General features: G+C 44.8%; 4 annotated features.

Moving 5' to 3' along the window:
- Positions 8904-9104: a silencer, noted in NCBI's record as "peak3633 fragment used in MPRA reporter construct". NCBI's record gives its function as "represses an SCP1 promoter by STARR-seq MPRAs in K562 erythroleukemia cells {active_cell/tissue: K562}" and the evidence as "EXISTENCE:reporter gene assay evidence [ECO:0000049][PMID:32103011]".
- Positions 9064-9264: a silencer, noted in NCBI's record as "peak3634 fragment used in MPRA reporter construct". NCBI's record gives its function as "represses an SCP1 promoter by STARR-seq MPRAs in K562 erythroleukemia cells {active_cell/tissue: K562}" and the evidence as "EXISTENCE:reporter gene assay evidence [ECO:0000049][PMID:32103011]".
- Positions 9224-9424: a silencer, noted in NCBI's record as "peak3635 fragment used in MPRA reporter construct". NCBI's record gives its function as "represses an SCP1 promoter by STARR-seq MPRAs in K562 erythroleukemia cells {active_cell/tissue: K562}" and the evidence as "EXISTENCE:reporter gene assay evidence [ECO:0000049][PMID:32103011]".
- Positions 12676-13294: an enhancer, noted in NCBI's record as "NANOG-H3K27ac-H3K4me1 hESC enhancer chr2:27975487-27976105 (GRCh37/hg19 assembly coordinates)". NCBI's record gives its function as "activates a minimal SCP1, AML or CMV promoter by ChIP-STARR-seq in naive H9 embryonic stem cells {active_cell/tissue: H9 hESC(naive)}" and the evidence as "EXISTENCE:reporter gene assay evidence [ECO:0000049][PMID:30033119]".

The following is a 25724-nucleotide window of genomic DNA, read 5'->3' on the forward strand; positions in this document are numbered from 1 at the left end:
CAATTTTTATTTGTCAATTATATGTCAAAAAAAGTCTTGGGAAACAAAAAAGAAAAAATCCTCATAAAAAATAAAATAAACCAAAAATAAACAAATAAAAATATTCCCTTTGAGAGAGGGAGAGACTGGGCAGACGGGTCAGAAATAGAAGCTAGGCTTCTCTGAATAGACAACTTGCTAGATTTGATTTTGGAATGTAAATATTATACATAGTTATAAAACAAAATTAAAATGGGAAAGCACTTTTTTTTTTTTTTGAGATGGAGTCTTGTTCTGTCACCCAGGCTGGAGTGCAGTGGCGTGATCTCGGCTCACTGCAAGCTCTGCCTCCCAGGTTCACACCATTCTCCTGCCTCAGCTTCCTGAGTAGCTGGGACTACAGATGCCTGCCACCATGCCTGGCTAATTTTTTGTATTTTTAGTAGACACGGGGTTTCACCGTGTTAGCCAGGATGGTCTCGATCTCCTGACTTCGTGATCCGCCTGCCTTGGCCTCCCAAAGTGCTGGGATTACAGGCGTGAGCCACCACGCCCGGCCGGAGAAAGCACTTCTTAAAAAAAGACAAATGATAACAACTATGTATCAGTTTCATGGCAAAACTCACAGAATTATTTCAGGAGACTCTAAAATATAGTATTTAACAGTAGGACTATTGAGAGATATACTCTATGTAGGGAACAATAGCAAAACACCCTGCAAAAATAAACTCTCTTTGGTAATCATATTGTTAGTAATATTATAGATACTATTATTCTGAAACTATTATACATAGGTAGGATGAAGCAAATAAGCAACTATGTTAACATTAGGATCCAAGATTTTCAGTATAATAGAACAAAGTCACAAACATAAAAATCAAATATTAAGCAAAAATTCTAAATTTGAATAGAAACTATTATAAGTATGGACTTATGATTAATTTAAAATAATCTACTTCCTAGCAGAGTCAACTGAGAAGGCCTAGAAACAATGATCAATCCAATAATAATGAGCACCTCTGGACCCCAGATTGTGATTTCTAACTACCATGTCCCACTAAAAGGACCAAGCCTCCTTGGGAAAAATTTTCCATGCTTATTTTGTACATTATCCTAACCTGTGTGTTACAGGATACAAATTTGTCAAACTAGATAGAAGGAAGTTGCCAGAGATTATTAGAGTCTTGTCAAAAGAAGAGCAACATTGATTTGAAGAGGTACCCACTCGCCAAAAATGGGATAATTAAGCACGAATAGAATAATAATTGATTGCAGCATTATTCACAGTAGCCAAGATATGAAGTGAATCTGAATGTCCATCTACCCCTCCCTCCCTCCCTGCAGTCTCCCTCTCAAGAGATTATTACTTCAAATCTTCTGGCTGTTTTTTCCCCCTGATAATTTCTTTGTTGTTGTTGTTGTTGTTGTTGTTTCTTTATTTTTGAGACAGGGTCTTGCTCTGTCGCCAGGGCTGGAGTGCAGTGGCATGAACTCAGCTCACTGCAGCCTCCACCTTCCAGGCTCAACTCAAGCAGTCGTCTCACCTCAGCCTCTGCATTAGATGGGACCACAAGCACGTGCCACCATTCCTGACTTTTTTTTTTTTTTTTCCGAGAGATAGGGTTTAGCCATGTTGCCCAGGCTGGTCTCAAACTCCTGGGCTCAAGCAATCCACCCACCTAGGCCTCCCAAAGTGCTGGGATTACAGGCAAGAGCCACCATGCCTAGCCTCTCCTTGTTTTTAAGTGATATGCTTATACTATTATTTCTTGATACTGTAGGGACACAGCTCTGCCATGGCACCTGGTGACCTTGCATATATCCAAATAGGGCACCAAGGCAAAGGCTTGAACCACAATGAATATGAATCTTGGCAGAATGCCTGTGGTCCTCTCAGAACACAAGACAGTACGGGAGACTTGTAAAGAGCTGCTAAGAAGCCACTTTCCATCCACGTCTTAGCTCCCCTGGGAGGCTGTCATAAGACAGTTATTTATTGCCCTCTGGGTTCTGAGGAGGTATGTGGCTTTCTGCCCTGTCCCCTCCCCACTTTAGGTCATCCGTTCTTTTTCTTTCTTGGCTTTGAAAATTTTTAATTTATTCTTTTCAAAAACAATTTTTAATTGATGCATAATAGATATACATAGTTTCGGGGTACATGTGATAATACACTCACATAATTTGTAAATATCAAATGAGTGTACTTGGGGCATCGATCAGCTTACGTGTTTATCATTTCTTCATTTTAGAAACATTTGAATTATTATCTCCTGGCTATTTTGTTTGTTTGTTTGTTTGTTTTTGAGACAGAGTCTCACTTTGTCTCCCAGGCTGGAGTGCAATGGTGCAATCTCAGCTCACTGCAACCTCCACCTCCTGGGTTTGAGCAATTCTCGTGCCTTAGCCTGCTGAGTAGCTGGGACTACAGATGCGTACCACCATGCTCAGCGAATTTTGTGTGTGTGTGTGTGTTTTGTTTTGTTTTTTGTTTTTTTGAGACAGAGTCTCGCTCTGTCGCCCAGGCTGGAGTGCAGTGGTGCGATCTCAGCTCACTGCAAGCTCCGCCTCCCGGGTTCATGCCATTCTCCTGCCTCAGCCTCTTGAATAGCTGGGACTACAGGCCCCCACCACCATGCCTGGCTAATTTTTTTGTATTTTTTAGTAGAGACGGGGTTTCACTGTGTTAGCCAGGATGCTCTCTATCTCCTGACCTTGTGATCCACCCGCCTCGGGCTCCCAAAGTGTTGGGATTACAGGTGTGAGCCACCGCGCCTGGCCGTTGTTTGTGTTTTTTGGTAGAGATGGGGTTTCACCATGTTTACTAGGCTGGTCTCAAACTCCTGACCTCAGGTGATCCACCCACCTCCCAAGTGCTGGGATGAGAGGCGTGAGCCACTGCGCCCGACCTCTCCTAGCTATTTTGAGGTGTACAACAGATTATCATCAACTATAGTTACCCTTCTGCTCTAACACTAGGTCTTATTTCTTTTACCAAACTGTGTACTTATACCCATTAATAGCTTCTCTTAATCCTCCCTCCCCTCCACCATTTATTTTTGATGTTCTCTAGTTTCACAATAATGTTTTTATATTTCCTCATTTCTGGAAAAATTTCAACCATGATCTCTTTGAGAAAATGACTTTTTGGGCCAGGGGCGGTGGCTCAAGCCTGTAATCCCAGCACTTTGGGAGGCCAAGGCAGGTGGATCACCTGAGGTCAGGAGTTCAAGACCAGCCTGGCCAACATGGTGAAACCCTATCTCTACTAAAAATACAAAAATTAGCTGGGCGCAGTGGCAGATGCCTGTAATCCCAACTACTCAGGAGGTTGAGGCAGGAGAATTGCTTGAACCCGGGAGGTGGAGGTTGCAGTGAGCCAAGGTGGGGCCACTGCACTCCAGCCTGGGTGACGGAGTAGGACCCTGTCTCCAAAAAAAAAAAAAAAAGGCTGGGCACAGTGGCTCATGCCTGTAATCCCAGCACTTTGGGAGGCCAAGGCAGGTGGATCACCTGAGGTCAGCAGTTCAAGACCAGCCTGGCCAAGGTGATGAAACCCTGTATCTACTAAAAATTAAAAAAAATTAGTCAGGTGTGGTGGCGGCCGCCTGTAATCCCAGCTACTCGGGAGGCTGAGGCAGGAGAATTGCTTGAACCCCGGGAGGTGGAGGTTGCAGTAAGCTGAGATCATGCCATTGCACTCTAGCCTGGGCGATAGAGTGAAACTCTGTCTCAAAAAAAAAAAAAAAGGAAAAAGAAAATGACTTTTTGGCTGGACATGGTGGCTCATGCTTGTAATCCCAGCACTTTGGGAGGCCAAGGTGGGCGGATCGTGAGGTCAAGAGATCGAGACCATCCTGGCCAACATGGTAAAACCCCGTCTCTACTAAAAATACAAAAATTAGCTGGGTGTGGTGGTGCGTGCCTGAAGTCCCAGCTACTCGGGAGGCTGACAGGAGAATCGCTTGAACCTGGGAGGTGGAGGTTGCAGTGAGCCGGGATCACGCCACTGCACTCCAGCCTGGTGACGGAGCAAGACTCTGTCTCAAAAAAAAAAAAAAAAAAAAAAAGAAAATGACTTTTTGTCATCCAGTCCACTTTCTCTCAGAATTCTTATTATAGGAATCTTGACACATTTAAAAAATCTTGTCTCTTTTATCTTTCTGGCTATGATCTAGGAGACTTCCTCACTTAGATTTTTCAGATCACTAAATACAAAAGAAAAAAGAAAAAAAGGAAAAAACCTAAAAAGAATCGAATCACTAAAGCCCCATACCTCAGAATAGAGCTGAAGAATATAACTACTTAGCCACAATCTAAGATTGATTCCTCAGCAGTGGGTATCCAACAACTCACGTTTCAGTCATCGGCCCCTTTTGTGTCATCCTTTTTGATGTGTGAGAAAAGGATCACAGGGAGCTAGCACTTTTGGCTTATTCTTATTTTTTTTCTCTCTCTATAAGTAATAAACTGTCTAAATCTGAAGTGGTTCATTGTATCTTTGCTGATTGAATCAGTCAGGTCTTGGCCTTACCTTGTCTTGCAGGCACAAGCTTGACAGACACCATCTATTGATTTCTTGTGTGATAATTAAGGTTTTAGTTTTCTTACATTTTCCCTCCCTCATATAAACATAGTATGATTTTTTTAAAAATTAAGTCAGTAGTCAATGTTTATATTATTATGGCTCTACTGAACATGGTATTGCATAATGACATTCCCTCCAGCTTTGTGTTTTTCCTGCAGTTAAGAGTTGCCATAGTTTTTCTTTTGCTTAGTTTTAAAAAATATGTATTGCTAATATTTTCCAAATGTTCTATGTATATCTGTTAAACATCTAGCAATGCTTTTTTCCCCCAAATGTCCAAGTGTATGAAATAATTGGTCACTATCCCTTCCTCTACTGCCATAGATCTCCCTTCTTAGCCCTGTCATCTTGCTACAATTTGGACATATTACTCTGTACAGCTGGGGCTCAGGTGTCATCTTAGGACTTCTTATCATCAGTCTTCTCCTTTGCATTGCTTCTCTGTTTTCTGAAATCCCTTTGTTCCTTGTTCTTGGCTTAGTCTTTCATTTCACTGAATCATATCCTTCACTATCTTCCTAAGAAAAGGTGTGTAGGAGGTAAAAATTTTGAGTTCTTACATATCTGGAAATGTCTTTATTCCACAGTTATCCTTTATTTGGCTAAGTATAGAATGCCAGGATAAAAATAATTTTCACTCAGAACTTTGGGTGCCCAACACTACTCTCCTCCTGCACTGCTGTTGTACTCCTTCATACATGACATGATTTTCTCTTTAGAGGTTATTAGCTTATTCCCATTTTCCTGGAATTCTGAAATTTAAAATTATTGCCTTGGAATTTTCCCCCATTCTAATGGACACATTAGTGGACACTCAATTTGGAGATTTATGTCCTTCACTTCCGGGAAAATCAATCTATCTGTCTATCTATCTATCTATCTATCTATCTATCTATCTATCTATCTATCATCTATCCATCAATCAATCATCTATTCATTCTATCCTTTGTTTTCTCTGTTTCAAAGCTGAATAAAACTTTTGAAACTTTTTGAATATTCTTTTAACACTCTTTTCTTCTCCTTAGCTTTCACTCATTTTATTCTACTTTCTGGGAGATTTCTTCAACTTTATTTTCCTACTCTTTTGACCACTTTTTTTTTTTCTTTTTAGAGACAGAGTCTCACTCTGTCACCTAGGCTGGAGTGCAGTGGCATGATCATAGCTCACTATAGCCTCAAACTCCTGGGCTGAAGTGATCCTCCTACCTCAGCCTCCCAAAGTGCTGGGATTACAGGTATAAGTCACTGCACCCAGCAGTGACCACATTTTTAATTTGTAAGAGCTCTTTATCATCCTCTGATTATTTCTACTTCACATCATCCTGCCCTTTTTCATGGCTGTGTATCTTCTTTTAAATCTCTGAGACTATCAGTTAAAAATACACATAAATTTTTTTTTAAAGTTTCTTTTTACATCATTTCTATTTCCTTTGAGTTCATTTTTTTCTGTTTGTTTGTTTTGGTCTCTCTCTCTCTCTCTTTCATGTGGGATACTTTTTGCAAATTTCTGGTGATCCTGGGCTATCCAGTCATATGGAATAGTGAGGCATCACAATGATTGGTGACTCTGTTATATGGACAGATATTTGACTGGCAGGTCTCAATCTGAGGCTATTTCATTGGGAGACCATAAAAGTCTCTCCTTAAGGTCACCGAAGGGTAGGTTTGAGATGTTTGGGTCGGGGGGCATTTTGACAGCATGGCTTCTCCTTTGGTATGTTTAATTGTGATGTTTGACAGACATCCTTGTAGTCAAAGACGATACTTTTAAAATAAATTATCCCCCAATGATGACTTGGGCCCTGTCACTCAACGGGAGAATTAGCAGAGCCTGTAGGATCTTATTTGGAATTGACATTCTCTATTGTAATTTCATTCCTGTTTATTTTTAAATTTTCTTTGTGTTCCACCGGAAAAGAAAGATGTTGCTCAGTTTTAAACTTAACAGTGCACAAGTTGCTTTGTTACAGTAAAACCCAATGTTTACACATGCACACAAAGTCCATCTTCAGGGGACTTTTCTCTGGGGCTAACAGTTTTTTTCCAGTGAAGAATCCTCCAGTCTTCTAGCCAGGGAACATATACCTGATAGTCCTTTTCTGGGAATGGGGTAAGGGAAGGAGCATGGCATTGGGGTCCACTATTAACATGTAGACTTAAACATAATCCTCCTCCGGTCTCAGCCAGCACCTGCCCTATTGTGGCTGGGATCCTTGAACTTGGGGGTGCTCTGGTTCTATTTCTGTAAAGAAAAAAACCTCCAATCAAGTGCAGGGACATAGTTGCCTGACTATTTGGGATTGGGAGGGGATCTGGAATTGTAATTTCTTCATATATGTCTTTCAATTGCTTCCCTAGGGTTTAGCCTATCCTTCAAACTCACTTCCTGCAGAATCTGCTGCCTCCAGGTTTCCAGCTCTCGGGGCTCTCTGGGAGGATCTGCTCAGTCCTCATCATCAGTGCCATCTTTGGGCCCTTTCAAGTCAGTTACCCCATGGCAGCCACTTTTTATCATCCCCAAATTTGCTAAGTTCTTCTGTCCACTGAGGTCCTCACTCCCATTCTCAGAGTTCTCATGGGTTTATGCTTTAAAAACTTTTGTGGGTCTTTGGAGAAAAAGGAGATAAAGATGTATGGTCAATTTGTTATCTACAGTATCTCTGACATCACGTGTTGTGAGCCACCCACTTTTAAAACTAGATTTTTTTTTTAATTTAAATTTTTATTTTTAAATTGACACATAATTATATATACTTAAGGGGTACAATGTGATTTATGTATATATGTTTATACATATATTTATATATGTGTATATATATCTATCACATTGTACCCCTTAAGTACAACGTGTGTGTGTGTGTGTGTGTGTATATATATATATATATATATATATATATATATATATATATATAGTACAATACATGCATATACAAGTACTATACACATACCCATACATTGTGGAATGATTATATCAAGCTGATTAACACATTCGTCACCTCACACCCTTATTTTTTGTAGTAAGAACATTTACAAAAAATTCTTTTAGCAATTTCAAAATATACTCTACATGATTATTAACTATGGTCATCATGTTGTGGAACAGACCTGGAAAACTTCTTTCTCCTGTCTAACTGAAACTTTGCACCCTTTGGTCAACATCTCCTCCTTCCTTGCCTTCCTAGCCTCTAGTAACCACCATTCTGCTCTCTGAAGTAGGAATTTATTTTAAATGTTCCCTAAACATTTATTTCAAGCATCCAAGATTTCATAAAAATCTTTATGTCACCATCTTCTTACAGGTCTTGATCTATTCCCGGCCTTCGCTTTGCCAAACTAAAACCTCAGTTCTCATGTTGATGTTTTCACCAGGCTCCGGATTCTCTGGTTCTTTTTCTCTGGCCTCCCTTCAGTTGTCCTTCTGGAGGTCCATGACAAAAGATGCAGGCATCCCAGCCACCCCCTGGATGACAAAATCCTCTTCTACAAATATCTCTGCACTAAGCGGTTGCCTAGGCAGGGTAAAAGACAGGACTTGCCTTTGGTGGGAGAGCGTGTTCTCCACATTCTTCCTCACTGTGGACAAAGTTCTCAGAAGCCACTTTGGCTTCAAGGAGGTATCCCTTAAATGGTGTGTTCACACATCACCACGCACCACATTGCCCAAGGGAGCACTGCTATAATTAGCATGTGAGCTCCTCACCAGTCCATCACATTCTAGTAAACCCAGATGTAAGGGAGACTTGGTGGAAAAGAGGAGAAAGCCAAAAAGACAGACAAAACAAGAAGAAGAGGGGAAGAAGGATGATGGGGAAAGGGTGGCGATAATATTCATAATAAGGTTTGTAATTAATGATTATAATAATTACTTGCATTTGCAAAGAATTTCCACGTGCATGGTTTCATTCACTATGTGTAACAACACAAAAAAGTACACACTTAGTCCCTATAGACTACCTTATGGGTTCAATCTATGGGTTCAATTCTAGAACTTAATTATAATGATCATCTATGACTTTCTTTCAGAGAAATTTGCTCCAAGTTTCAAACAGTGATTTATAAATGGAAATATACACTGTGTGGAAGTTCAGGGCTGCCTAAGTAGATGAAGGCATAGCTTGATTTCTCTGAAAAAGGAGGACTCATTCCACAGGGGTTGATGGTGAGTCTCCTCTGAGCCAGCTGTGGTGCTGAGTGCTGAGGTGACGGTAAAGATGAGTAGTGCATGGATGCTCCTGCCCACGGTGAGTGGATTTAAGAAGAGAGCACCTGATGCTGCCGAGGGATTACAAAGGAAAGATTCAGTGAGGCATTGCAAAGGAAAGATTCAGTGAGGGATTGCAAAGGAAGGGTTCAGTGAGGGATTGCAAAGGAAGGGTTCACCGAGGGATTGCAAAGGAAGGGTTCAGTGAGGGATTGCAAAGGAAGGGTTCAGTGAGGGATTGCAAAGGAAGGGTTCACCAAGTGATTGCAAAAGGATTCACTGAGGGATTGCAGAAGGATTCACTGAGGGATTTCAAAGAAAGGATTCACCAAGGGATTGCAAATGAAGGATTCAGTGAGGGATTGCAAAGGAAGGATTCACTGAGGGATTGCAAAGGAAGGGTTCAGTGAGGGATTTCAAAGGAAGGATTCAGTGAGGGATTGCAAAGGAAGGGTTCAGTGAGGGATTGCAAAGGAAGGATTCAGTGAGGGATTGCAAAGGAAGGATTCACTGAGGGATTGCAAAGGAAGGGTTCAGTGAGGGATTGCAAAGGAAGGGTTCACTGAGGGATTGCAAAGGAAGGGTTCAGTGAGGGATTGCAAAGGAAGGGTTCACTGAGGGATTGCAAAGGAAGGGTTCGGTGAGGGATTGCAAAGGAAGGGTTCAGTGAGGGATTGCAAAGGAAGGGTTCATTGAGGGATTGCAAAGGAAGGATTCACTGAGGGATTGCAAAGGAAGGATTCATAGACCAGAACTTTGACATGGGATCTGTCCAGCAGAAAAGGTAGGGTAGGGCATTTTTGCAGAGAATGTGATGGACAAACACATGAAGGCACAGTTAATAATTTAATATGGACAAACTAAGGGTGGCATCCCTGTAGCAGACATGGGAATTGTTACCACCCAACAAAGAATCCTCCTTCTTTGAGTATTAATTCACTGATTTCCTCAGGGGAGCTATTTCACCACACCCAACTTTCAGTCCCCATGATTGGATGGGACTGGGTATATCACTCAGCCTGACAATTCATCAGAGAGATTTACTCAGAAATTGGCATGTTACCCATTCTAGGCCAATGAGAGGGGGTCCTGAGATTTTTGCTAGAACTCTTGGAAAAGAAGCATTTTCTTTCTCTGTCAGGATTGTAGAATAACTGTAGGTGGATGTTCAGTATATTAGATTATTTGTTTGTTTGCCTGTTTGTTTATATGCATTGAGTAAAATCAGAAAGAAGTATCTTAAAATATTGACATCAATGAATTTTTGGTGGTGGGATAATGATGACATTTATGGTTTTTGTACATTTACATATTATTTATATTTTCTACAAATTTATTATATTTATATTAAAATATATTTTTTTCTTTCTTTTATTTTTCTGAGACAGAGTCTCATTCTGTCACCCAGGCTGGAGTACAGTGGTGTGATCTCAGCTCACTGCAGCCTCTGCCTCCCAGGTTCAAGTGATTCTCATGCCTCAGCCTCCGGAGTAGCTGGGATTACAGGTGTGCACCTCCACACTTGGCTATTTTTTTTGTGTTTTTAATAGAGATGGGGTTTTGCCATGTTGGCCAGGCTGGTCTCTAACTCCTAGCCTCAAGTGATCCACCTGCCTAAGCCTCCCAAAGTGCTGGGATTACAGGCATGAGCCACCAAGCCCTGGCAGATTTTTTTTTTTTTTTTTTTTTTTTTTGATACAGACTCTCACTCTGTTACCCAGGCTGGAGTGAAGTGGTGCGATCTCAGGTCACTGCAGCCTCCACCTCCCAGGTTCAAGTGATTCTCCTGCCTCAGCCTCCCAGGTAGTGGGGATTACAAGTGTGTGCCACCACTCCTGGCTAAATTTTGCATTTTTAGTAGAGACGGGGTTTCACCACATTAGCTAGTCTGGTCTCGAACTCCTGGCCTCACGTGATCCACCCACTTTGGCCTCCCAGGGTGCTGGGATTACAGGCATGAGCCACTGCCCAAAATGGATTTTGATGTTATAAATTATTATTTTAAAACTATTTTAGGCTGGGCGCTGTGGCTCACGCCTGTAATCCCAGCACTTTGGGAGGCCGAGGTGGGTGGATCACCTGAGGTCAGGAGTTCGAGACCAGCCTGACCAACATAGTGAAACCCCATCTCTACTAAAAATACAAAATTAGCCAGGCGTGGTGGCGCATGCCTGTAATCCCAGCTACTTGGGAGGCTGAGGCAGGAGAATCACTTGAATCCGGGAGGCGGAGGTTGCAGTGAACGAAGATGGCGCCATTGCACTCCAGCCTGGGCAATAAGAGCAAAACTTAGTCTCAAAAAAAAAAGTTATAATACATTATAAAACAATATACATATGTACCATAATATATGTTTATGTTTATAATTTTATATAAATAATAGATTCATGTAATTTTTACATTAATATAGAACAGAAGTGCTTTAAGCCCCAAATGCCCATTTATTCCTTCCCTTGGTTCCAGTTTTAAACCCAACTCCTGAAACCTGGCGGGACCTGCATCCTGAATCCCAGGTTAATCCAGTTTCCTATAAAAACTTTTTCAAAAGAAAGCATTTTACCTTTTCAAAGTCAGGTAGTTAGCAAAAAGAGACATTTCAAAGTAAAACATTTAGGAACTAAGAGGTTACACTGGCGCCCCGTTAGACCTCAGTCCTCCTTTTAGCACAGAGGGTGGAAAGATGCGTGGGGCTCTGTTCTCAGGATGGGCTCTGACTCCAGGCCGGCTGTGGCAGGGGGACCAGGGGTGGCCGTGCCTCTTTGACCTGACTTTGTAGTCCTTTTAGGAAGAGCTCAGTGGGTTGTTGAACTGGCGTGGATGCCCTTGGTAGCCCTGCCAGAGAGAGGAATAGGACACAACCCCCACCCATCCTCCTGTCACCTGCCTTCACACTCACAGTCCCTTCAGTCACCAAACGGGAACAGCACAGCTCGGCCCTGCCTGGGTTTCCTCTCCCCTTGTTTGCAAGGACTCCTGAGAATTCACACACATCCTGGGTGTCCTCCCTGCCAGTCACCAGCTCAATCCTGCTGGTGCCCACTGCAGAAACAGACCCCTCTCTTTTTTTTTTTTTTTTTTTTTTTGAGATGAAGTCTTACTCTGTCACCCAGGCTGGAGTGCAGTGGCGCCATCTCAGCTCACTGCTATCTCCACCTCCTGGGTTAAAGCGATTCTTCTGCCTCAGTCTCCCGAGTAGCTAGGATTACAGGCTCCTGCCACCACACTCAGCTAATTTTTTTGTATTTTTAGTAGAGACAGGGTTTCACCATGTTGGCCAGGCTGGTCTCGAACTCCTGACCTCAAGCGATCCGCCCGTCTCGGCCTTCCAAATTGTTGGGATTATAGGTGTGAGCCACCATGCCCAGCCCAAGCCCCTCTCTTAAGTTCTCCAAGCACAGCTTTAACAAAACTCCCCATAACCTCTGCAGAGATGCCATTCTCTCTCAAAGAAAGCCACATTTTACAGTGACTAAGAGGAGCCTGTGGCCTCACGTTGTCCTGCATTGCACTGTCTCCTTTCCAGAAAAGGTTCACGTTTTATCCTTGCATAACCCAAAGACCTATTAAAATCTTTTCCTAAAAACAAAAGGGATTATTCCCACAAGAGCAAGTTGCTTCCACCTCCACCGGAGACAAAGAAATTGGAATCAAAACCCCAAGCCCATGTGGCTCAGAATAGCAGTTTGCTCTTTTTTTCTTGCCATTGCTTTTTTCAAAAATAGCGGAGGCCATTTTTTGCACACCACATTCTATACCTGTTTGGAAACCAAAGGCTGAGTCTGAAAGAGGGTCAGGGACTGGGCTGGGAAGGGAAGGCTGCAGGAGAGACTCAGGAAGAGGGAGTGAGGTCAATGAACACAGCAACCGCCAGTTTTTCCAAGACTGAGACCTTTTATCGTGGAGTCAGATGTGGGGAGAGGGGGCCAGGCGTCAGCTAGCTGTGGGATCACGGGCAAGTCTTGGAGGTGCCTCTTCCAGCTTCAAATCTCTGTGTACTTTGGGGAGGCAGGGGGTTTGCTTCCCAGGTGCAGGCTTGCACCTGCCTCTTTCTGGATTGCATCAGAGCTGCTCAGGACTCATTTCCCCACCCCCACAGGCGCCTACAGCTCCCTCCCCCTCCCATAACTTATTAGCTACAGATAACATCCCTTTGTTCTCCCAGTGACTCCACACCCACAGAAGGAGAGGGGGATGAAGAAATCTGCCAGGAGGGTGCCTCCCGCCAGTATCTGATGAAGGTAAGAGGTAAGAGGCTGCCCGTTTACTGCTTGTGCCTTCCAGGGAAGCTTCTTCCCCAGGGCCACTACCCGTTTCGGGAGGCGTTTCTGGGCTAGGCTTCCTGGCAGGGGAGGCTCTCAGGCACTGGGGCCGCTGAGGGTATGTGGTGAAGCGCTTGGCTTGGAAATCTTTGCCTTAGGGACTCATTAAGAATTTTTTCAGGGAATCCTCGTCGGGTGTCTTCCAATGGCTTCCCACCAGGTTACAGTCAGGCCGAAACTTCTTTTTTTTTTTTTGAGATGGAGTCTCGCTCTGTCGCCCAGGCTGGAGTGCAGTGGCGCGATCTCGGCTCACTGCAAGCTCCGCCTCCCAGGTTCACAGCATTCTCCTGCCTCAGCCACCCGCGTGCCCGGCATGGCCCAAACTTCTTAGCCTTTTTTGCCAGTCCTTTTCCCAGACCCACTGAGCTCCAGTTACATAGAACCACGTGCGATTTCCTTGAAAATATTATGCATTTTCATGCTTCCGTGACTACTTTGCATATGCTGTTTCCTTTGCCTGGAGTGCCCCCTACCACTTCTCTTCTTAAAGAACTCCTATTCATCCTTCAAGACCCTACTCAAAAGTCAGGTTCTTTTTCAAAGCCTTGCTTGACTTCTCAGACAGGGTGGGATGCTCTGTGCTCTAGGCACAGGGTTCCTTCCCTGGCTCATCTGGGATTAGGGTAATTATTAGAATTTACATGTTTATCTTCCTTCTAGTTGTTCCTCCAGGGCAGGGACTGTCATTCACCTTTGCAAATGTGGTGTACAGCACAGTGCCAGGCCCTCGTAATTCCTCAGCCAGTATTTGTGGCAGGATAAACACAATTTCTTCTGGATTTATTGTAATTTTGAGTAGCATTAAGAGAATGCTTTTGTCTCTGTGGACATTCCCTGGCCTCCAGTGGCATCTCTCCAGACAAAGGTCACATATTTGTGAATCTGTATATTCACACAGCATCAGCATGTCACTTCTCAGGTATTTTACATCTGATTTATTTATTTTACACATTAACCCTATGGGTGGTTGTTATTGTTGCCATCATAAAATAAAGAGATCGAGATGCTAAGAGATTAAGTACCATGTTCAAGGTATCAGCACTTGGATGGCAGAGCTGGGACCTGAAACCAGGTATTCTGGCTGCAAAATCTTTTATCTACATCTGAGTTTCTGAGTAAGTGGTCTTTGAATCAGTAGGTCAGCGTCCCCTGGGGACTTGTTAGACAACCCAAAACTCCAAGGGTGGGGCCCAGCAATCTGTTTCAACCAGCCCTGCAGGTCATTCTATCCTCAAGTTAACACTGGCCTGTGCCACAGCTGCTCCAGTAGCTGTCCACAGCCATGGGAGGGCGCTCCAAGGCCGACTTTCACCACTGGGAACCTGTCAGGCACAGCAGAAGGCAAGAAAATGCATGAACTGGGAATTAGGCGGCAGAGTTCTAGTCCTGCCAGTTCTGCAATTATTGGTTGAGTGATTTGGAGCACATTATTTAATGTTTAACCTCCCTGGGCCTCAGTTTTCTCATCTGTAAAATGAGGATGATGACTAAATGTTCTCATCTCTAATTTCCCTTTAAATTCTGTTATTCAGCTCTCCTTTGGAGTAATATGTTGTCTGTGCCAAGGATGGAATGAAAACAGAGTATGATGGCTCATCTTGACTTTTTCCTTACTTACAAATGGAGAGCCCCAAAGTCCAAATCCTTGGACCAGCTATCCCCCAACTTCCTCCTTAGGGGCAGAAGGTGAGAGCAAGCAAACATTTGAGTTGATTCATGAAACTTTACTGGGCAAAGAATAGAAAATGTTGGTTTGGACCCTCCTTCACTATCTGGGGCCCCTCCACATGAGCTCCTTCACCGATCCGTCTCCTTCAGCTGCTTCCCCACTGTGACTCTACCAGCCCCTCTCTATCCCCCCTTCAAGCCTGAGCACTTTCCCTGCACCCCCACCTGGAGTTGCCCAATTCACATGCTCTTGTTTATTCACTGCTCTTCTGAGGAAGGGTGGGGTTGGTGTCAGGGTGACTTACTAGGTTTGACAGGGGCTTGGTGGCCTCATGGGGAGCCCCTCAGACGCTGGCTTCACATGGCCCCTCCTGCTGGCTTCACATGGACCCAACGGCCCTCCCTGGAGCCCACCTCACAGTGGATGGGACTGTACCTACTGGGCACTGGTGGGGCCCAGCATTCAGCTGACGGCTGAAAAAACCTCCGGTCTACATTGGGCTAAAAGGGAGGAAGAATGTTTCTTGCCCTTTTGAGATGTTTGCAAAAATCCCCAAAAAGCAATTGTGTTGTCAGAGTACAGCCTTGAATCAGAAAGGTGGTTAGAAGAATTTTAATCACCCAGGAGCTTGGCATCAACATAAGAACATGGCTGATACTCAAGTCCAGAGAGACTAGGAGAACTGGGGAGTTTCAGAAGTTGGTCAAAGAACGTGTTGCCTTTGGCAAAACCACACGTGTCAAACAATCCGAGTGTCTAATCAATCTGTATCGCTCTCAGAGAGACTTTCAGCACAAGGTTTCAGAAGCCAGGAAAAGCCTAATAATGTAGGACATCAGGTGTCCCCAGCAACCCTGGGGTGAAAAGCCAAAGAAGGTGGTTCTTAAACAAGGGCTTGGCCAGGCCCAGTGGCTCACACCTGTAATCCCAGCACTTTGGGAGGCCAAGACGGGCAGATCATGAGGTCATGAGATCGAGACCATCCTGGCTAAAACGGTGAAACCCCGTCTCTACTAAAAATACAAAAAATTAGGTGGGCATGGTGGCGGGCGCCTGTAGTCCCAGCTACTCGGGAGGCTGAGGCAGGAGAATGGTGTGAACCCGGGAGGCGGAGCTTGCAGTGAGCCGAGATCGCGCCATTGCACTCCAGCCTGGGTGACAGAGCGAGACTCCGTCTCAAAACAAACAAACAAACAAACAACAAGGGCTCTGGGAAGACCGGAAGCCAATGTCGACTCCTCCTCAGTTGAAGGTCACCGAGGCTGCATTTCTCAGCTGCAAGTGACCAGGGAAGCTGACCACCCCTTAGATGATCAGTGGAACAACATGTTGATAAGAATATGTGTGTAAAGTTGTGTGCAGTTACGGTTTCTGTGCCTTTTAAATCAATACACATTGTCTCAACCTAGTACCCTGGAGTCCCATGTCAACACCTTCTGCTGATGGCTGCTTTCTTGACCCATTCTGAGCACCCCAAAGTGGGCCTGGTAATTGAGTTCAACCGGGAACCTGCTGACCTGCCTCAGCAGTCTTGGAACTTCCCAGGATCCCAGGGGGCTTGGAAGCCTGGGGACCACCCAGGCGTGGATTAGGATTCCTGGACTGCTCCAGCATGGGCCCCTCTCCCTCCCCACAGTCAGCACCTGTCCCATCTCAGCCTGAAATTGGCCTGCTTTCCTCCAAGACTTGGATCGAAAGACTCTTCTGCACATGTTCAAAATGTATTTCAACTCCTTAGAGTCTCCTAAGCCTCCCATTGCCAAGCCCCTGTGACTTCACAGACACTGAGCACTCATCTCTGGTGCTGTCTTCTACCCAAAGAGTGGCCACATCTGAACATGCTGGTCCTTTAGCTCTCTGTTGTGCAGGAGTGAGGAGACACGGGCTGTAGTCTCAGCATGCTGATGCAGTCTAGCTGTGGGCCCTTCGGCAGGTCACTTTACTTCTCTGGGCCTCAGTTTTATCATGTGTAAAATGAGAATGTTGCTTTAGATGCCCTCTGAGATCTTCCAACTCTAACATTCTGAGATTCTGGGGGCCGCCCTGGCCGAAACAGGTTCAGAGGTGCTGCACATCACCCCACACATAGCCATGAGGACATAGGAGAGAGTCCATGTAGTGTCAGGACAGTGGGGAAGACCCTGGGGCAGATGAATACTTTTCTTTCATGGACTTCGATTTGAGGAGAGCCTGTTGGGTGGGTCCTGGCTGGAAAGAGTGAAACAGCCTCCCTCAGACTCCCCCTGTGCTTGAGTGGTTGCCTCACAGGCTGTCACTTAACCCTCCTCACCACTTCCCAGGGTGGGAAAGGGAAGGGCAGACGGGGAACAGCTGATGAAATAGGCAGACACAAGCGTGTGTTCCTCAAAGACAAAGCCAAGGTCAACAGAGCTGGGCCAACTTGGGCTGCAGCTGCAGGCCCTGCTCTTTGCAGAGTTTCAGCTTCCTCTTCTTGACTCTCTCCTAATAATTTAAATGGGGTTCTTTCTCAGAGCACCAGAGCCAATGGTTGATACTTTGTGTTAGAATTTACCCACAACTATCCACTTGTGTTGCTCTTTAACCTGAAGCCAAAGAGAATGTCCTTGGCTGCTGGGAATGTGTGCAGTGAGGGCACCCAGGAGTGGGATGGTTGTTCTGAGCCTGTGCTCCCACCAGACCATACTTTCTGTGTGCTCTTCCAGGAGGAAATGGATCCAGCCAGAAGGATCAGAGAGTGTCAGAAGATCTGGAAACTTCCTCCGTAGGGCCAAAGCCTCAAAATATGCCATTCTATTCTGGGGAATGCCATTTCTATTCAGGGCTCCATCCATCAAATGGAAATGGGACTCTAGGCTACTTTCCCATCTCCCAGGAATTTGGATGCCTAGAACACAACAATTCTTTTAATCTTCTAAGTTAAAAAAAAAAAATTCGGGGACAGGTGCAGTGGTTCACTCTTGTAATCCCAGCAGTTTGGGAGGCCGAGGTGGGCAGATCACTTGAGGCTAGGAGTTGAAGGCCAGCCTGGGCAACATAGTAAGACCCTATCTCTCAAAAAAAAAAAAAAAACAAAAAAAACAACAGTTGGGTGTGGTGTTTCATGCCTGTAGTCCCGGTTACTTGGGAGGCTGAGGTGGGAGGATCATCTGAGCCCAGGGAGATTGAGGCTGCATGCAGTGAGCCATCATTGCACCACTGCACTCCAGCCTGGGCAACAGAGTGAGACCCAGCCAAAAAAAAAAAAAAAAAAAGATTCTATAAGGGGGAAAAAGACAAGGCGTATCAAGTCCTTGACAATAAGAAAATTGCTAAATATTGCACTCAAACTAGCTTAATAATGAACAACTATACCTTCATCATAAGTTGCAAAGAACTTTGTCATACTAAATTCATACTTCGACACTGTATATTCACTCAAAAGGCTTTATAAAGAAAGTGCAAATATAGTTAGACCCCCAAATCAGTCATAATCATCATAATTTACTGAATACTTATCAAGTGCCAGGCCCTGTACTAGGTGACTTAAATGAATTATCATATTTCATCCTCACAAGAACCCTATGAGACTGAATCTATTATTATCCCAATTTTATAGATAGAGACACTGAGGCACAGAGGTTTTTTTTGTTTGCTTGTTTGTTTTTTTTTTTTTTGAGACAGAGTCTTGCTCCATTGCCCAGGCTGGAGTGCAGTGGCATGATCTCAGCTCACTGCAACCTCTGCCTCCCTGGACCAAGTGATTCTCTGAGGCACAGAGGTTTAAATAACTTGTCCAGGCAGGGCGTGGTAATCCCAGGAGTTTGGGAGGCCGAAGCCAGCAGATCATGAGGTCAAGAGATGGAGAGCAACCTGGTCAACATGGGGAAACCCCATCTCTACTAAAAATAAAGAAATTAGCCGGGTGTGGTGGCGCGCACCTATAATCCCAGCTACTCGGGAGGCTGAGGCAGGGGAATTGCTTGAATCAGAGAGGCAGAGGTTGCAGTGAGCCAGGATTGTGCCGCTGTACTCCAGCCTGGTGACAGAGCGAGACTGCATCTCAAAACAAAGCAGAACAGAACAAAACAAAACAAAACAAAACAAAACAAAAACAACTTCTCCAAGGACAGAGAGCTAGTAAGTGATAGAGCCACGGTATCGAGCTGGTTTCCCTGACTTTGGAGCCTGTGCTCATAACCAGCTGAAAACTTCACATACACAAATAGAGAATTTAGGGGGACAGAATCCTTAAAAATACAAAAGGTTCGCTAGAATGTTCTCTAAACCCCAAATTCCCCCATAATTTCAGTAAATAAGACCTATGGCCAGGCACCGTGTGGCTCATGGCTGTAATTTTAACACTTTGGGAGGCCAAGCTGGGAGGATCACTTGAGCCCAGGAGTTCAAGACCAGTCTGGTTAACATAGTTAGGCCCTGTCTCTACAAAAAATTTTTTAAAAATTAGCTGGGTGTGGTGGCACATGCCTGCAGTCCCAGCTCCTTGGGAGGCTGAGATAGGAGGATGGCTTGAGCCCAGGAGTTCAGGTCTGCAGTGTGCCAAGATGGCACCACTGCACTCCAGCCTGGACAGCAAAGTGGGACCTTGTCTCAAACAAAAAACAAACAAACCACCATAATTTTCTTTTCTTTTTTTTAATTTATTTTGAGATGGAGTCTTGCTCTGTTGCCTAGGCTGGAGTGCAGTGGTACCATCTTGGCTCACTGCAACCTCTGCCTCCTGGGTTCAAGCAATTCTCCTGCCACAGCCTCTCAAGCAGCTGGGATTAAAGGCATGTGCCACCATGCCCGGCTAGTTTTGGTATTTTCAGTAGAGATGGGGTTTCACCATGTTGGCTAGGCTGGTCTTAAACTCCTGACCTCAAGTGATCCGCCCACCTTAGCCTCCCAAAGTGCTGAGATTACAGGCGTGAGCCACTGTGCCCAGCCCATAATTTTATTTTCTAAAATTTGTCTTAAGGAACATACATTTTGAATGCAACATATAGATTTTTGCTTTGTGGGAAGGCACACACCTAAACCTTTCACCTAGTCGGTTAATTCTGATATGATTAATTCTGTTAATAATGAACGATTGACTTATTTTCTTATTGGTTTTGAATAACCACATTCAGAAAGGAGCCTAGGCAAGGTGGTTTATAATTTAAGTATGAATCTTCTAATTACACATTTGTTTGTATATGTTCATGCATAATCAAATTGAATCAAATGGACAGCCTGAAAAATGAGATTATAGTGTTAGCATGGTAGAGCAGGAGTTGGGGGCATTCTTCTTGCATCAGCCATCAACTTGATTTATAGATGTTTTATCTCATTAACCTTTAAGTCATAGAGCTAATTAGTGGCTCTGGGAACTGCAAAACACACTTGAAGCAATCACGTAGCTCTTTAACTTCGTCATGCACCAAATTAAACTGGACCCAATTATTCCAAATCATAGAAGACATCTTTTGAAAGACTTTGCCTCCTTCATTTCAAATGGCTCACTGGGATGAATATCATACTTGATGAGAACCCAGATTTCCTCTTCTAGCTGCATGCCATATTGTGTTAAAACCATCTGAATTCTTCAAAAGTTCTTGCTTCACAAAGAGACACATATATGCATTTGGTGTGATTATTCCTTTTTGGGTAAAGTTGTCCCAGGACCCTATGGAGGGTGTCACCCTGAGGATAGCACTGCTGACCTTCCACCTGCAGCTGGGGATCAGGGCAGCCATGCTGGAACCCAGATTGTTCAGGAGGCTGCCATCTTGAAAAGGGAGATGGTCCCTTGGCACTAATAGACCTATAGACATCCTTTTGTTTTCACTTCCCTGTTCTCATTTCTGGGATAGAAGCCCTCACAAAACTGTGACAAAGACCCAGACCCTGAAGCCTGAGTAGATACAGCCTTTCTTCTCTTTCCAGCCTTCTGATGGGAGGATTTTGAACTTCTTGGCTCCCTGTTCCTTGTGGCTGAATTAAAGTAATGGCTAGGGCCAGGTGCGGTGGCTTACGCCTGTTATCCCAGAACTTTGGGAGGCCGAGATGGGTGGATCACTTGAGGTCGGGACTTCCAGACCAGCCTGTCCAACATGATGAAACCTTGTCTCTACTAAAAATACAAAAATGAGTCAGATGTGCTGGCACACACCTGTAATCCCAGCTACTCGGGAGGCTGAGGCAGGAGAATTGTTTGAACTTGGGAGGTGGAGGTTGCAGTGAGCCCAAGATTGCGCCACTGCACTCCATCCTGGGCAACAGAGCGAGACTATGTCTCAAAAAAAAAAAAAAGTAATGACTAGGATGATATGATGACAGAAATCTAACAGGCTAATTAATTTACATAAGGAAGGGCATAAAGCTACTTTCTGGATGGATAATGGGCTGGGTGCAGTTGTTGAGTGGACTTTGGGTAAGAAAGTCCACTCTCCAAGACGCTTAGTAAAGACTTACATTGTTTTTAGGGCATTTGGAGTTCAACTTATGTTTCTTTTGAATAGGACACCAAACAAGATGAACCTTCATAAGGGAGGAAGAAGGCTCAGGCTTATTCAAGTTACATTTCAAATAATTTCCTGATAGAGGAAAGGGATTTGGGCAGAAACCCCTAAGATGATGACTTACAGTGGGGTTTTCTGAATTCTCATGTTCTTAGAACAGGACTGTGAAGGGTAGGAAGCAGAGGCCTGTGGGGTGCAGTCTTATCAGATTGGGGGCCTTCACCTCCACTGGACATGTGGGTAAAGCTGAGGTTTCTTTTGGGCCTAATTTCTCATGAAGAACAAGTCCCAGTGTCAGGGGACACCAAACTTTAATTTCTTTCTTGGATTTAGTTTGAAAATGGACTAGATTGTTAACATACAGAAGAATTTTTGTGTGGGTTCTTGCTCCTTAAATGCCAAACTGATGTTCTAATGCCTTTTGACATGTCTCCTGCAGAGTGACTCAGCCCTGGCCTCATGGACCCTCCACAGGCTCTCCCTCCCTCAAGGGTGCAGGTGTGTCCCCACCTCGGATTGGAGGCCAGGAAACTAACCACAATCTCCTGGCTATGAGACCTGGCCCCTGCCTTGGAGGCAAAACAGGGTGAAATACAGGCAGGCAGGATCCCAAACCACAGAAGCTCAAGTTAGGTCATTCTTGTGAACATGACAACTCGCTGTCTCTCTAGGTCAACAAAAAGAGACATAGATCCATTTGAAAATGGACTTAAAAGACTAACAATGTGGCCAGGTGCAGTGGCTCATGCTTGTAATCCCAGCACGCTGGGAGGCCGAGGCGGGTGGATCACCTGAGGTCAGGGGTTTGAGACCAGCCTAGCCAACATGGTGAAACCCCGTCTCTACTAAAAATAAAAAAATTTAGCCAGGCGTGGTGATGGACGCCTGTAATTCCAGCTACTTGGGAGGCTGAGGCAGGAGAATCTCTTGAACCCGGGAGGCAGAGGTTGCAGTGAGCCGAGATCACATCATTGCACTCCAGCCTGGGCAACAAGAGTGAAACTCCGTCTCAAAAACAAAAACAAACAACAAACAAACAAAAAACCTAAGAATGTGCATGATTATTATTGCCATTGAGTGCCATTCCAAAGCAATTGAGAAAGTTAATTAGCTGTTCCTTTACAGAAGCCAACAGAGGTGCTAGAGGACATTTGTGCTCTCTATAGCAGGAATGTTGAGTACAAGGAGTTTAAATCACTTATCCAACAGCCAGTGAGTACAATGTTAGATTCTTGTTCCCTATTCACATGCAGCTGGCATCTTTGGGGGAACTGCACACTGGGCAGGAACCATCTTTCAAAGCCCCTGGAGAAGCTGCAGAGGCACTTGCAGGATGATCCCTCTCTGGGACAGGCTCTCTGAGACAGTTAGAAATGAAGTTGAGGTGCCGGGGGGGCAGTGACTCACGCCTGTAATCCCAGCACTTTGGGAGGCTGAGGTGGGTGGATTGCTTGAGGCCAGGAATTCGAGACCAGCCTGGCCAGCATGGTGAAACCCTATCTCTACTAAAAATACAAAAAATTAGCCGGGCATGGTGGCACACGCCTGTAGTCCTAGCTACTCAGGAGGCTGAGGCAGGAGAATCGCTTGAATCTGGGAGGTGGAGGTTGCAGTGAGCCGAGATCGTGCCACTGCACTCCAGCCTGGGTGACACAGTGAGACTCCCTCTCAAAAAAAAAAAAAAAAGAAAAAAGAAAAAAGAAATGAGGTTGAGAATCAGGATCAGTGCAGAGGAAAGAGTAATGGAAAATTACTACTCCTCTGAAATAATAATTCTTGGGAACTTTGACATGGCTGGTGTGGCTCTGAATGTGGTCATTTTTCCTTAAACATGGGATCCAGCCCAAGGCAGAAGTAGATGAATCCTTGGGAATGCACAATTACTATTCACTCAGTTCACTGTGGGAATCAAGCAAATGAAATTGCCTGATGAAAAAAACAACACTGCCTTAAGAAGCACTCTGTCATGTTCACAGTGAATTTAAAATAATTATTAGGAAAGAGGGCTTGGCAATGTGAAGAATGTCAGAAATCTTCAGCCCAATTTGTTCTTAGGGTATGATGAAAATGGATATATTTTGACTGAAATTCTAACTTCTACTCTCAGGGCTACTCAGAAAGTCTGGCTAATGGTTCATATAGGAAAAACAAACAGATTTTTTTTCTTTCCTAGACTGGTGTCCCTGAGGCTTAGGAATAATAATCAATTTCTCTAAGGCTAGTTAATAACAAACACTGTTTGTTCTTTGTAGTATCTAACATTTGCCCAACCTACTTATAGCACATGGAATTTGGACTGAACCCACAAGATACACACTGGTTGCCTTTGACCCTGGGATAGGGCTTACTGACATCTATTTTGAATGGAGGGAAGAGTGGAGTACTAGAATTGATGCTGGGTGAATTAAATTCTACCCATTATAAACCGTGTTTGAAGCAGCTCATGGGATCACTCTTATAGACCACATGAGTTATTTCTGGGCCTGGGGCTTCTCTGGCCGCCCGCATCCCCACTGGTTGGCTCAGCCCCTGGTCCTTAGAAGACCTTCCTGAGAGGCCAGTGTACCTTCTTGGCTACATTTCTCTGCAGCCTTTTAATATTCACACATGAGACAACTTAACACACTGCTGCCTCACATGGCCATGAGTTCTGTTCTGTGCCAGCATCAGGACCAATCTTGTCTTGGACAGGGGGGCTAGGAAGACCTTTGCCCTAGTAGCTAGCATCAAGTCATGATAGTGGCCAGCCCCAGGCTGGCCTTATGCTCTGGCTCCGGAAACTGGACTCTCACCTTGTCCATTCATTTGAGAAATATTTATTGAGCATCAGACACTGTACTAGGCCTACAAATAGAGCACTAACTAAAAGAGATAAAGATGTCTGCCTGGCTGGGAGCAGTGGCTCAGGCCCGTAATCCCAGCACTTTGGGAGGCCAAGGCAGGTGGAACATGAGGTCAGGAGATTGAGACCATCTTGACCAACATGGTGAAATTTCATCTCTACTAAAATACAAAAAATTGCCAGCTGCGGGGGCTCACGCCTGTAATCCCAGCACTTCAGGAGGCTGAGGCGGGCGGATCACCTGAGGTCGGGAGTTTGAGAACAGCCTGACCAACATGGTGAAACCCCGTCTCTGCTAAAAATACAAAATTATCCAGGTGTGGTGGCACATGCCTGTAATCTCAGCTACTCAGGAGGCTGAGACAGGAGAATTGCTTGAACCTGGGAGGCGGAGGTTGTGGTGAGCCGAGATCACGCCATTGCACTCCAGCCTGGGCAACAAGAGTGAAAATCCGTCTCAAAAAGAAAAAGAGAAAACAAATTAGCTGGGTGTGTGTGGTGGTGTGTGTCTAGTCCCAGCTACTCGGGAGGCTGAGGCAGGGGAATCGCTTGAACCTGGGAGGTGGAGGTTGCAGTGAGCTGAGATTGCACCACTGCACTTCAGCCTGGTGACAGAGCAAGACTCCGTCTCAAGAAAAAAAAAAAAAAAGATGTCTGCCCTTCTTTAAATTCTACTCTATTTTAAGGAACTGAATCTTTTTCTCTCATTCCCAAGTTTCAGTCTTGGTTCTCCAATCATAAGTCACTTCTTCCATAATGATGTTTCTCAAACTTTAATGTGAATACAAATCATCTGGGGATCTTGTTAAAATGCAGATTCTGGCTGGGGACAGTGACTCATGCCTGTAATTCCATCACTTTGGGAGGCCAAGGTGGGAGGATTGCTTGAGCCCCCAGGAGTTGGAGACCAGCCTGGGCAATATAGCAAGAGCCCATCTCTACAAAAAATACAAAAATTAGCTGGGCATGGTGGCAAATGCCTGTGGTCCCAGGCACTCAGGAGGCTGAGACAGGAGGATTGCCTGAGCACAGGGGTTCAAGGCTGCAGTGAGCCAAGATTGCACCACTGCACTGCAGTTTGGGTGACAGAGTGAGACCCTGTCAAAAAAAAAAAGCAGATTCTCATTCAGTAGGTCTGGGGTGGGACCTGAAATTCGACATTCCTAACAAGCTCCCAAATAATATAGTGTTGCTGCTAGCGATGCTGCCTGGATTACACTTTATTTTATTTTCGGGATGGAATCTGGCTGTGTTGCGGGGCCTGGAGTGCAGTGGTGCAATCTTGGCTCACTGCAGCCTCGGGCTCCTGGGTTCAAGCGATTCTCCTGCCTTAGCCTCCCGAGTAGCTGGGAGTATGGGCGCATGCCACCACGTCCGGCTAATTTTTGTATTTTTAGTAGAGACAGGGTTTCACTATGTTGGCCAGGCTGGTCTTCAACTCCTGACCTCAAGTGATCCGCCCGCCTCGACCTCCCAAAGTGCTGGGATTACAGGCATGAGCCACCATGCCTGGCCTGGATTACAGTTTAGTAGTCAGGATGTACAGCTAGCAGCATCAGAGAGCTTGTTAGAAGTGCAGAATCTCAGGCCTCACTTCAGACCCACTAGCTCAGAGTCTGCCCTTCAACTCGATGCCCAGGTGCTGAGAACAGTGATCTAGAACAA

This window comes from Homo sapiens, chromosome 2 (genome assembly GCF_000001405.40).
Source record: "Homo sapiens chromosome 2, GRCh38.p14 Primary Assembly".
Taxonomy (NCBI): domain Eukaryota; kingdom Metazoa; phylum Chordata; class Mammalia; order Primates; family Hominidae; genus Homo; species Homo sapiens.